The sequence below is a fragment of the Homo sapiens genome, chromosome 2 (assembly GCF_000001405.40).
Source record: "Homo sapiens chromosome 2, GRCh38.p14 Primary Assembly".
Lineage (NCBI taxonomy): Eukaryota > Metazoa > Chordata > Mammalia > Primates > Hominidae > Homo > Homo sapiens.
In genome coordinates this window covers 178,660,184-178,673,528 of record NC_000002.12, presented here as the reverse complement: position 1 = coordinate 178,673,528, position 13,345 = coordinate 178,660,184, and the positions used below count along the sequence as shown (strand labels likewise).

Below are 13,345 nucleotides of genomic sequence, written 5' to 3'. Positions count from 1 at the left end.
GAACTGATTAAGGACCAGTAAAAATATAACTCATTCCATTTCTTTAATCTTTTCTAGGATGTTAACGAATAATTGTGTGCATGTGTTTACGTATGAATTATTCTAGAAGCTTCTTAACTGAGAATTTTAATATATTAGTATGTCTCTATATACTTATACACATAGCAATGGATCCCTCTTCCCCACATTTTAGATTTTATTCCATAAGTGGAACGGAGTTTTCTTCTGTGTTATAATAATTATTTTACTATATTTATTATTTTATGGAACAAACCTAATGCTTGGATAATAACTATTTTAAAGAGCCTCACGTCCCTTTTGTAATGTTTAGCCCAAGCATTCAAGGTTATTACAAAATGTCTACTTTTCCCTGCTTCCTAATTCACTTAATGCTTCAGACAGTGCTCTTAAGCAGTTAGATTATGCTGTCCCTGTCATAGTAGACTCCTCAGCTAATAGAAGAGTGCACAGCAGAAAGTGAGGCCAGTGTCAGGGCTTAAATACTCTACAATGGTAATCACTTCAAAAAAGTCTTCATCAAGTTAAAAATAGTAAAAGTGAGTCCATATTGGTAATCCCTGTTATTAAAAGAAAAAAAAAAGAATGGCACAGGTACTTTGTGGACATTTCTTCTTCTATAGGAATGTTAGAACAAATGAGTGATTTGAGAAAGTATCTTTATTGCCTCTAAAATGGATGTCCCACAGTACAGAGTGACTTCTGAAAAACTTTAATTATTGTAATGTTGGCGTTGTCTCTGGTGTTTTTATTTCATGTGTGTTATTGAACATTCTCAGCTAACTAAAACACCTAATATCTTTAAAGTGTCAAAGAAAATTCCTGAGGAAAAAGTACCTGTTCCTGTTCAGAAAAAAGAGGCACCCCCAGCCAAAGGTACATCTTCTCTTTTAAACCTGACTTCCTCTTCTGTCTTTTTTCGTTAAGACTTTTATGTTTCATGTCTCTGTGTCTTGATTGTTTTTGATGATTTTTGTCTATGAAAGCTTGCTCTCGACAGTCCTAAATATTAAAACTGTATCTTTAAAGTGCCTGAAGTACCAAAGAAAGTCCCAGAAAAGAAAGTCCTTGTGCCTAAAAAGGAAGCTGTTCCCCCAGCTAAAGGTATTTTTGGAAAGATCCTGGATTTTCGTGTATTGTTGCATGCAATCCTTTATTCAGTTTTAAAAATATATATTTTGAATGTACATCTTTATTTCTTCAGTGTTTAAAAAAATAAGTCTTAAAATAGATGCTCTTTCAGGGAGAACTGTCCTTGAAGAAAAAGTATCAGTTGCCTTCCGCCAAGAAGTAGTAGTAAAAGAAAGACTAGAATTAGAAGTAGTAGAAGCAGAAGTGGAAGAAATTCCGGAAGAAGAAGAGTTCCATGAAGTTGAAGAATATTTTGAAGAAGGCGAGTTTCATGAAGTAGAAGAATTCATCAAATTAGAACAACATAGAGTTGAAGAAGAACACAGAGTTGAAAAAGTTCATAGGGTAATAGAAGTTTTTGAGGCTGAAGAAGTGGAAGTATTTGAAAAACCAAAAGCTCCACCTAAAGGTATAGGGAATTCTTCAAATACTACAAATTCTTATATCTTGCTCTAACTTTCCTTTGAAAGTAAATTTTGTGTTCAGTTTGGAAGATTAGAAACCCCATGAAATACTTTAAACATGAGTTTAAACTAGTTGACACAAAGATTAATATCTCTTAACCACACGGAGTATAATTTTAGTAGATGATAGTAATATTTGATATCTACTTATCTAAGGAGGTCACTGTATGAATTTGGGGATTATTTTTTAAATCTGACTAAGAATGTTACACAATTGTTACAGGTACCAAAATAACTGACCAGTGTCATTGGTTAAGTGAAAAAGAAACTCCTCAGTTCACTGAGGAATTTACATGTTCAGGCAAAATAATCACTGCTTTAACATTTTAGTCAACTGTTCACAAACTGAGAAATACTTACCAAAAGCTTTTGCCAGTTTATGATACTTTCATTAGAGAAACAACATTAAGGAAGTGAAGTATTGTTAATGGCACCTGTATTCTAGCATACTGTGAAGACAAGCCATAGCACAAATAAGTTATCTGCAATACCACTCTAGATCTTGCACAAATTAACAATATATGTGTAATATGAAGGAATGTGTGTGTGTGTGTGTTTAGCATATATAGCAAATTACAATATACATGATATTTAGCAAATCAAATCTCTTTTGGAAATAAGTGTGTTATAAATTAAAAAAATATAGATAAAGAATTTTGTGACCCCTCATTGTACTAACGTTAGTAGTAGTGCTCCAAAATACTTCAAGAGTTCATTCTAAACCAAAATACTAATATCTTTGAAGGGCCTGAGATATCTGAGAAAATCATCCCTCCAAAAAAACCGCCCACTAAAGTTGTTCCTCGAAAAGAGCCACCAGCTAAAGGTATCTTCTTTGTGAAAAATTACTACTTAACTTTACATACAATAGCACCTTGGTTGCTTTATAAGCACAAGTTTGCATTCCACTTGATGTCTTTCTTCTGTATTTCTTGTTTCTGACATGTCTAAAACAAACTAATATCTTTAAAGCAGCTGAGGGTCCAAGGGAAGTTCTACCAAAAAAAGACAGTCACTGTTGTTATACCTAAAACAACCAAAGCAAATATCTCTAGTAACCAAATAGTGAGCCCAAATTTCCTCCTTTGGTGCTATTTGGTTATATATTCACTAACATGCTTACTGATAAACACATGTTTTTCTATTTATTATTAATTATATTAACCTGGCAAATATAAATACATAGTGAATATGTGTTTAATGTTCTTGCTTTGTTCATTTTTGCAAATCTCTTAAATTTCACAATAGAAATAAAAACAGTATCTAATAAATAATATAAACTTATTTCTTTAAAGTCTCTGAAGCATGTGCGTAAGTTATCACTGAAGAGAAGGTAGCAACTCTTCCACAAAAACAAACAGTAATAGCACCAGCTGAAGGTGTACTGTTAATTTTTCTTCTCAAGTTCTTACCATTCTAACATGGGAAATTTCCCTGGATTTTTGTTATTATATATTTTTTAAATTCAATGCATTTGAAATACTGTAATGTATTTGATAAAGTGTTGTCTGCATTTTATATTGTTGCTGTGTTCTGTTCTGTGTTTATATCTCTCATGCTCTGCTTGTTAAAAAATTGTATATTTAAAAATAAAAGAAATTATTACTATTATCTTTAAAGTACCGGAGGTGCCTAAGAAAATTGTGGTAGAAGAAAAAGTACGTGTTCCTGAAGAGCCCAGAGTTCCACCAACTAAAGGTAACTGGCTTTTCTCATTCATCATTAATATAAAATCCTTTTTTATTCACTTACTATGTAAGAGAGACCTTTCTCTTCTCAATGCCACAAGATGGCTATGAATGACATAAACTTCAATTTATGTTCTATAACATAATCCTGCCTTTTGAGGCAATGTTTTAGGCGTAAAGACATAAGCCCAAAGTTATCATTTGTATTGATCCTCTTATTTAATAACTAAATAATATTGATCCCTCAACTTCTCTTTCAAAAATAATTCATTTTGGAAGCTCTTCTGAAGTAGCTCTGGAAAAAAAAAAGTGTGCTCTAAATGGCAATAGAAAATGATACTATCTCCAAAGAGCAAAGTGTTTCTGATATAATGAATCAAGAACTCATCGACAAAGCAATTCAGAGAAATGCAATGACTACATTTGACTTATAGTTGACTTATAATTGAGGGGTTTTTGGCGTTCATCTTGTTAGATGCCCCTTCTAGGCTTGCTATGTTTACACCCAACTATAATGTTCTGAAAAAATAAGATAAATAAATATCTTTAAAGCACCCGAAGTACCCAAGAAAATTGTCCCAGAAGAAAAAGTTCGTGAAGCTGTTCTGAAAAAGCCTGAAGTTCCACCAGCTAAAGGTATACAGTGATGCTAATCAGAACATGAAATAATTCTTGGTTTAGTTTTTCATGGTTTAAAGTGAATGTGTGTGACATTAAATCCTTGTATTTCGTATCTTATATTTGTTATCTGTAACAATTAATATACTAATATCTTTAAAGTTCCTGGGATGCCTAAGAAAAGTGTTCAAGAAGAAAAATCACCTATTGTTATTTCTGAAGACACAGAGATGTACAGTGAGTGTAGAAAAATTAGTGGTTCTTTTTCGTTTCATTTATGTCCTTAAATTCACTATGTTTGTCTTTTTAGCTTTGAAAAGTAAATATACTAAACTCTTATAAAAGCCTAACATGCCACAAATATATGACTCAAATAATCTTAGTGTCTATTATCCTCAGACAAGTTATATTTCCTCACCAATTTAAAAAAGAAATACTCTACTTATCAGAGTGTATGATTTCAGAAAAGTCAGTTGTCTTGTTAAATTTTCCTAACCTATTCTGTATACAAGTGTCTTTTGCTTTGAAGCAATTTATTTTCTCAGATCATGAAGTAACTTAACTCCATAATATTTTAATTGGATTTTATAAAATCAAAATGTTTCACCATTATTTTTTTTTTTACTCTTGATAACCATAATTGGAAACATTTTGGCAAAACTGCTCAAAGGACCCTAGGTTTACAAGGCCACTCAAACCTCAAAAGAATTCTCACGACCTTTTTTTTTGGGGGGGGGTTTCATACAAAATTAGGTTTAAATAATTTGAATTATGAAATAATCCAAATAGTAAAATATTGTGAATAGAATACTGTTCAACAACCTGAATAGTAAAAGTGACAGTAGTCAAAATATTCTTCCTTTTTTTTTTTTTTTTGAGATGGAATCTCACTCTGCTGCACCCAGGCTGCAGTGCAGTGGCACGATCTTGGCTCACTGCAACCTCCGTCTCCTGGGTTCAAGCTATTCTCCTGCCCCAGCCTCCCGAGTGGCTGGGATTACAGGTGCCTACCACCAGGCCCGGCTAATTTTGTGTATTTTTAGTAGAGACAGGGTTTTACCATGTTGGTCAGGCTGGTCTCAAACTCCTGACCTCAGGTGACCCGCCCACCTCAGCCTCCCAAAGTGCTGGGATTACAGGCATGAGCCACTACACCAGACCCGCTTCCATTTTTTTTAATCTAAAAAATTTCCTGTTGAAACTCAACTTTCTTGTTGTTCATCCTGTTATACTAAGTTGGGATAAAATAATATAATCACTTCCTCCTTTGAATATCCTTTCTATTCTTGACTTTAGTTATTGTTTTCAGACAGTTTTTCTTTCTAAAGGCTGGAGAAATTTTTGTTGTCTTTATTTGCCTTATTTTCTAAGTATTTAATTTTTTTAATTTTCTGCCTCCAAACCCTAAATGGCTTTTACATTCATATTAAACTGTGAAACCATATATTAGATGTGATTTGAAAATATAGATAATGAGGCTTCTAGAAAGGGAAAAGACTTACATGAATTTCTAGTAGGTCAAATATCGGAGAATTCTCAATGTGCAATTCAGCATCTTCCCTGTTCTTTATAGACAAATCCATTAAAAATAAGACCAATAGGACAATTTTACCAATAACTTTCTTAAGGCAAAATGAAGAATTATATAGTCCTTGCCTGAACAATTCCTCCATTTTATTATCATCATCATAGAGAAATGCTTAGAGTCTTACATCATGAAACTGGGAGTGAGGCTATCCCCAGCCAATGCATTCTAGCCACTAATTTGCCTCTATGTGCTACTATTAATTTTGGTGATGAATGTGGTATTATATATTATATTTTTCTTAATACACTTCTTTATCCACCTTGAAACATCCTAATTATTTAAATACTAATATCTTTAAAGTTTATGAAGCATCTGAAGAAGCAGTCCTAGAAGAAAAAGTACTTGTGACTCAACCTCAAAAGACAAAACCCAAACTAGCAAAAGGTATATAACACCAATGATCCACTCTGAAGAAAAATTATTTTTTGGCCCCTTTTAAAAAGCTCAATATTTTTCTTCACCATTTATAAATATAACTATACTCATATCTTTTAAGTGCCTGAGCCACCCAAGAAAGTTGTTCCAGAAGACAAAATATATGTGACTATTCCTAAAAAGAGAGAAACACCAGCAACTAAAGGTATATTTCAAATACATCAAACCCAGATGAGTATCTTTAGCTTTATGACTCAAACATTGCATGCTTTTTATAATTTACTGTTTTTACAACTTTTAAATGTAAACCTACTAATATCTTTAAAGAACCTGATACAACCAGAGGCATTTTTCCAGAGGTGGAGCCACCTGAGGCTATTCCTGAAATTCCAGAACATCCTCCAACTGAAGGTATAATTCTCTAGTTAGGAAAATCTAAAGAAGAAAATATACTGTCTTCAGTCTGCAAAATATTTAATGTTTAATATACATTCTCACAACCTCTAATGTTAAAATACTGTGTTTAAAGGATCTGATATACCCACAACAAAGAATGACCTATGACTTGCCCCCAAGAAAGTCAAGTCCCACACATATAATATACAAAGATAAAATATTAGAACAAAAATAACATTTCTAACATAAAGATATCTGAAATGATATTAACATATCTAACTTTCTTAGTATGTCATGTCTTTATGCCTTTGCCTTTTCTCAATTAAAAAAAATACTAATATCTTTAAAGAGTTTGAAGTCTTCAAGGAAGTCATTCCAGAGGGAGAAACTCCTATTGTTAAAAGAAGAAAAACACCATCACCAACAGGTACAAGTTGGAAGAAAGTCACCTTTTTAATCTCATGTTTGCAGTTGTACTTAACACATGTAAAAATACTAATATCTTTTAAGCCAAAGTGGCTACAGTGGAAATCATTTCAGAGATGGATCCCCCAAGTAGAAGCTCAACCAAATGTATTCATGTCCCAGTGAGTCACTCAAGAGACAACAGAGGGAAAAAATACCTTTAGCTTATACACATGAAAGATAGTTGAGTCAGTGTATTTTTATGAGGACTCCAAAGAAAATATATATACACATATTATGATCAAAACATGTCTTAAAGAAAATATTAATTCAGTGTGAAGCTGATCTGTAATATCTCTACAAGATTAGAGCACCTGAGACCCTCCCAGAATATCCTCCAACCTAGGGAAAAATAATTCCAGTTAAAGCTGGAAATCTCCCCTCCATGTTCATTTGCTCCTCTCATAGCCTATCTTTTATTTTTCAAGCATCATTTTTTTTCATTTTGAATATCTTTAGATAAGTCAAAACATGAAAAAGCTTTAAAACCTCCAGAACAATAATTTCATCATAACACCCATGGTATTCTGTAATTTGAAGAATATCTGAATATTTTGATATTTTTTCTCAGTCTGGAATCTTTTGGTTGTTCTCCTCTCTCCTAAACTTGAAAAACACTCACCTTTTTAAGGTGCCTGAGGTGTGAATACAAAAAAATGCCGACCTAGATTTTTCGAAGTGGCTGTAATTTGTTTTTCTCAACATAATAGCTAGAGGTATAGCATTAATTATAATCAATGTTTCCACTTTCCATGATCTAGTTTTCTATGCATCTACCATTCCAAGAAATAAAATTACTAATACTGATAGTGCCTGAGGTGACCAAGAAAACAGCCGCTTATAACCAAATACTCACACTGCTACAAAAGATCCGATTCTGGGGGCGGGGAGTGGGAGAAGGTTCCCATCTGGAATGTTCTGTATGTGCAGTTAAGATGGGAACTCTTTACTCCTCTTCATAACTCCAAAGTACAATGCATTCATATCTTTAAAGTGCCTGAATCACCTCGAGAAATTGTCCCTGTAAAGGAAACACCCATGGCTGCTCCCCTTGAAATTGAAATACCTCCCACTAAAGGTATCGTTCATCCTGCCATTCCTTCCTTCATTTATTAGAGTGCTTAGCATGTACAGGGTGCTAGGGAACTGGAGAATAATAAACAAAGACAATTAATATGTGGTTCCTCTCCTCAAGATTGTATACCTCCTCAGATTCTTTAAAGGAATCATCTTTTTAGCCATAAATATCACTTTGGTTCAGCTCATTTAATTAATGTCTCCACTGATCCTTTTAACCTCTAACCATAATACTAATATCTTCAAAGCACCAGAAGCTATGAAAGAAGTTGTCCCTGAAATGAAAATATTTGAGGATGTACCTGAAGAGCCAGAAACTCCACGTATGAAAAGTACGTTACCTCTGAACAAATGTGGAAGAAGAAATTATCTGTCCTCTGCTCTTAAAACTATGGTTTCTTCCTAATACTCTTCATAAATTCTAAATATAAACATACTAATATCTTTTAAGTGTCTGAGGTTCCACAGGAAGTTTCCTCTAAAAAGAAATTATTTATGGCTGTTTCTGCCAAAACAGAAAACACTCCTGCTGGAAGTATTCATTCAACAAATCCTTTATAATGAGAGTGTAGAGTGTCGCGAGAGCTCTGTGAGGTTCTGGAGGAGGGGGAGCACCTCCTCTCAAGGATCCACTAACCCCTTAAAAGACTTAGCCTATTGGTGGAACAAAGGGAGGATGGAGGAAAGAGAAGAAAATGTGGTTATATTTCCTAACTTATTGTGGTTACTGTTTTCCATTAATCATTTTAACTCTTAAATGTGAATTGCTAATATCTTTCAAGCGCCCGAAGCTCCTCAAGAAATTATTCCTGCCAAGACAGTTCCTTCCAAAAAAAGAGAACCCCCATCAGTTAAAGGTACAAGTCACCATGCTCTCAGGGTCAAGAACTAGCTCTTGTAGTTTTGAGAATATTTTTGCTATTCCTAGTTATCTGCATAACACTAAACATAAAACTACTAATTTCTTAAAGTGCCTGAAGCTCTCCAAGAAATTGTCCCTGAAAAGAAAACGCTTGTGGTTCCTCTCAGAAAGCCTGAAGTCCTTCCTGATGAAGGTATATCTTGCTGGAAGCTTAGAGGGGTGGGAACATGTCTTTTCTTGTATAAATGTTTTTCCTGATTGTGTTGATTCTTGTAACTTCTAAATGTAAAATTATTAATATCTTCAAAGTGCCGGAGGCTCTCAGAGAAGTTGTCCCGGAAAAGAAAGTGCATCCTCCCCAAAGGGCTGAAGTTGTACCTGTCAAAGGTACATTCTTAACTGTCTTTTTATGGTGGGATAGTGGGTGGGGCGATAGAAAGGACCACCTTTCTAGTTTTGAAAATTATTTTGATGTGTACATGTGAATCATGTCTGTGTTGACTCTTGCAACTCAAGTGTAAATGTATTAATATCTTCAAACTGCCTGAAGCTCCCAAAGAAATGGCTACCAAAAAGAAAATACCGGAAGTTCCTCCTCTAAAACCTGAAACACCACCTATTATGGGAACTTGTTACCACTGATCTCAGCTCAGGAGAAAAAAATAGCTCTTTTGTTCTTGAAAATGTCTTTGTATCTATCTAGTAATCTCTGTATTTTCTGAGTGTAAAAATACTAATATCTTTCAAGTGCACGAAGCTCCCAAAGAGATTATCCCTGAAAAGAAAGTGTCGGTGGTGCCTCCTAAAAAGCCTGAAGTCCCACCTGTTAAAGGTATTTGTCACTGACTTTAGGCTTCAGAAGACCTAATTCTTCTGCTCTTGACAATATTTTTTTCTAGCGGTCTTCATAACACCTAAATGTAATTTCACTAATATCTTTCAAGTGCCAGAAGCTTCCAAAGAGGTTATCCGCGAAGAGAAAGTGCCCTTGGCTCCTCCTAAAGAGCCTGAAGTCCCACCTGTTAAAGGTAGTTGCCACTGACCTTAGGCTTCAGATCTCATTCTTTTGCTCTTGAAGATATTTTTTCCAGTGGTCTTCATAACTTCTGAATGTAATTTTGCTAATATCTTTTAAGTACCAGAGCCTCCCAAAGAAGTAGTTCCTGAAAAGAAAGCGCCAGTGGCTCCTCCTAAAGAGCCTGAAGTCCCACCTGTTAAAGGTATTTGTCACTGATTTTAGGCTTCAGATGATGTATCTCTTCTGCTCTGGAAAATATTTTTCTAGTGGTCTTCATAATGCCTAAATGTAATTTCACTAATATCTTTCAAGTGCCTGAGGCTCCCAAAGAAGTTGTTCCTGAAAAGAAAGTGCCAGTGCCTCCTCCTAAAAAGCCTGAAGTGCCACCCACAAAAGGTAGACACCCTCTTGTTGCTGTGTTTGATATTGTTTGTTTGTCTTTACTTTGTCTAATAATGAAAATACTAATATCTTTAAAGTCCCAGAGGTGCCAAAGGCAGCTGTCCCAGAAAAGAAGTTGCCTGAAGCTATTCCTCCCAAACCGGAAAGTCCTCCCCCTGAAGGTAATGCCAAAGCTATACAAACTATAGGAGAAAAATAACTGTTATTTTAACTAGGAAATTACATGTTAAAAATCCTACTACATAAAGATGATATAATTCTAAAGAAAACAAATGTCAATCGCTATCCAAAATATCTTGGTGGGTGTTTATATGCAAAAGGCATCCATCATTTTCACCTTTTCTAAACACAAATTACAAATATCTTTGAAGTGCCTGAAGTGCTGCCACCGAAGGAAGTGGTCCCAGAAAAGAAAGTACCGGTGCCTCCTGCCAAAAAGCCAGAAGCTCCACCTCCTAAAGGTAGGTATCATTACACATTGTCAGTCGGGGGGCCCTGGGGAAAGACTGCATAGAAGTGTCCGCCGATCTCACAAGTTGTATTTGCTTGGGTAAATGTGGAGTCGATATTCCCCCTTTATAGCTTCTAACTAAAAGATACTAATATCTTCAAAGTTCCTGAAGCTCCTAAAGAAGTTGTACTTGAAAAGAAAGCATCTGTGGCTGTGCCCAAAAAACCGGAAGCCCCACGTGCAAAAGGTATTTATTCCCTCTCCTCTGCTAAGAAAAACTTATCGTCTGTACCCCTCACAATCACTGTAATATATACCTTCACCATTCATAAATTATAAAAATACTAATATCTTTCAAGTGCCTGAAGCTGCTCAAGAAGTTGTCCCAGAAAAGAAAATTCCCAAGGCACCAATCAAAAAACCAGAAGCCCCCGCAGTTACAGGTACATGTCAGCTCAACCTTATCCTGCAGAAGAAATCTCTCTTCCATTCCTGAAAACAATTTTAGTCCATTCCTCTTCATTAACCTAAGTATAAAACTACTAATATCTTTCAAGTGCCAGAAGTTCCTCAAGAAGCCACAGAAAAAGAAATTCCCGTGGCTCCACCCAAAAAACCAGAAGCTCCAATTGTCCCAGGTACACTTTAGCCCTGACTTCATTCTGCAGAAGAGATATCTCCTCTCCTACTGTAAACAATTTTAGCCCATTTCTCTTCATTAACTTAAGTCTAAAACTACTAATATCTTTCAAGTGCCTGAAGCTCAAGAAGTTGTCCCAGAAAAGAAAGTTCCTAAGGCTCCTCCCACAAAACCAGAAGCCCCACCTGCCACAGGTATTTTTTACCCCTGTCCTTTTTCTGCAGAAGAAATATCTCTTCTGATCTTAGAAATATTTTACTCCATTTGTCTCATTAACCTAAGTGAAAAACTACTAATATCTTTCAAGTGCCTGAAGTCCCACAAGAAATTGTGCCAGAAAAGAAAACACTGGTGCTTCCTAAAAAGCCAGAAGTTCCACCTGTTACAGGTACTTGTCATTTGACCTTAAGCTTCAGAAGATCCAATTCCTCTGCTGTATATTTTGCTAGTAGTCTCCATAGCTCCACATGTAACTTTACTAATATCTTTTAAGTGCCAGAGGCTCCCAAAGAAGTTGTCCTTGAAAAGAAAGTGCCCTCGGCTCCTCCTAAAAAGCCTGAAGTCCCACCTGTTAAAGGTATTTGTCACTGATTTTAGGCTTCAGATGATCTATCTCTTGTGCTCTGGAAAATATTTTTCTTTTTATATATATATATATTTTTATTATACTTTAAGTTCTAGGGTACATGTGCACAACGTGCAGGTTGTTACGTATGTATACATGTGCCATGTTGGTGTGCTGCACCCACTAACTCGTCATTTACATTAGGTATGTCTCCTAATGCTATCCCTCCCCCATCCCCCCACCTCACAACACACTCCGGTGTGTGGTGTCCCCCTTCCTGTATCCATGTGTTCTCATTGTTCAATTCCCACCTATGAATGAGAACATGCAATGTTTGGTTTTTTATCCTTGTGATAGTTTGCCAAGAATGATGGTTTCCAGTTTCATCCATGTCCCTACAAAGGACATGAACTCATCATTTTTTATGGCTGCATAGTATTCCATGGAGTATATGTGGAACATTTTCTTAATCCAGTCTATCATTGATGGACATTTGGGTTGGTTCCAAGTCTTTGCTAATATGAATAGTGCCGCAATAAACATACGTGTGCACGTGTCTTTATAGCAGCATGATTTATAATCCTTTGGGTATATACCCAGTAATGGGATGGCTGGGTCAAATGGTATTTCTAGTTCTAGATCCCTGAGGAATCGCCACACTGACTTCCACAATGGTTGAACTAGTTTACAGTCCCAGCAACATTGTAAAAGTGTTCCTATTGCTCCACATCCTCTCCAGCGCCTGTCGTTTCCTGACTTTTTAATGATCACCATTCTAACTGGTGTGAGATGGTATCTCATTGTGGTTTTGATTTGCATTTCTCTGATGGCCAGTGATGATGAGCATTTTTTCTTGTGTATTTTGGCTGCATAAATGTCTTTTTTTGAGAAGTGTCTGTTTGTATCCTTCGCCCACTTGTTGATGGGGTTGTTTTTTTCTTACACGTTTGTTTGAGTTCATTGTAGATTCTGGATATTAGCCCTTCGTCAGATGAGTAGATTGCAAAAATTTTCTCCCATTCTGTGGGTTGCCTGTTCATTCTGATGGTAGTTTCCTTTGCTGTGCAGAAGCTCTTTAGTTTAATTCGATCCTATCTGTCAATTTTGGCTTTTGTTACCATTGCTTTTGGTATTTTAGACATGAAGTCCTTGCCCATGCCTATGTCCTGAATGGTATTGCCTAGGTTTTCTTCTAGGGTTTTTATGGTTTTAGGTCTAACATTTAAGTCTTTACTCCATCTTGAATTAATTTTTGTGTAAGGTGTAAGGAAGGGATCCAATTTCAGCTTTCTACATATGGCTAGCCAGTTTTCCCAGCACCATTTGCTAAATAGGGAACCCTTTCCCCATTTCTTGTTTTTGTCAGGTTTGTCAAAGATCAGATGGTTGCAGATGTGTGGTATTATTCTGAGGGCTCTGTTCTGTTCCATTGGTCTATATCTCTGTTTTGGTACCAGTACCATGCTGTTTTGGTTACTGTAGCCTTGTAATACAGTAGCGTGACGCCTCCAGCTTTGTTCTTTTGGCTTAGGATTGACTTGGCAATGTGGGCTCTTTTTTGGTTCCATATGAACTTTAAAGTAGTTT

General features: G+C 35.6%; 1 protein-coding gene and 1 long non-coding RNA gene across 22 annotated transcripts in view; one reads left to right on the top strand and one right to left on the bottom strand.

The window, feature by feature from the left end:
- The window catches only part of TTN (titin), a 281,435-nt gene that overhangs the window by 133,895 nt on the left and 134,195 nt on the right, over positions 1 to 13,345 (top strand). For 4 of the 21 annotated variants that reach the window (NM_133378.4, XM_017004821.1, NM_001256850.1 and 1 more), the window contains 6 exons: positions 826 to 894; positions 1,048 to 1,122; positions 1,262 to 1,558; positions 2,359 to 2,439; positions 3,234 to 3,311; positions 10,474 to 10,563. The exons of 8 other annotated variants lie outside the window; for them this stretch is intronic. In NM_133378.4, the coding sequence (NP_596869.4) occupies positions 826 to 894; positions 1,048 to 1,122; positions 1,262 to 1,558; positions 2,359 to 2,439; positions 3,234 to 3,311; positions 10,474 to 10,563 (690 nt within the window). Of the gene's footprint in view, positions 1 to 825; positions 895 to 1,047; positions 1,123 to 1,261; positions 1,559 to 2,358; positions 2,440 to 3,233; positions 3,312 to 3,853; positions 3,938 to 4,081; positions 4,157 to 5,807; positions 5,892 to 6,003; positions 6,088 to 6,209; positions 6,294 to 6,627; positions 6,706 to 7,737; positions 7,822 to 8,068; positions 8,153 to 8,602; positions 8,678 to 8,791; positions 8,876 to 8,991; positions 9,070 to 9,430; positions 9,515 to 9,626; positions 9,711 to 9,814; positions 9,970 to 10,012; positions 10,097 to 10,179; positions 10,264 to 10,473; positions 10,564 to 10,716; positions 10,801 to 10,912; positions 10,997 to 11,110; positions 11,192 to 11,306; positions 11,388 to 11,500; positions 11,582 to 11,686; positions 11,771 to 13,345 lie in introns of those variants that run through there. 9 more of the 21 variants (XM_047445668.1, XM_024453095.1, NM_001267550.2 and 6 more) reach the window with 8 other exon arrangements.
- The window catches only part of LOC124906100 (uncharacterized), a 71,929-nt gene that overhangs the window by 40,717 nt on the left and 17,867 nt on the right, over positions 1 to 13,345 (bottom strand). The window lies entirely within an intron of this gene.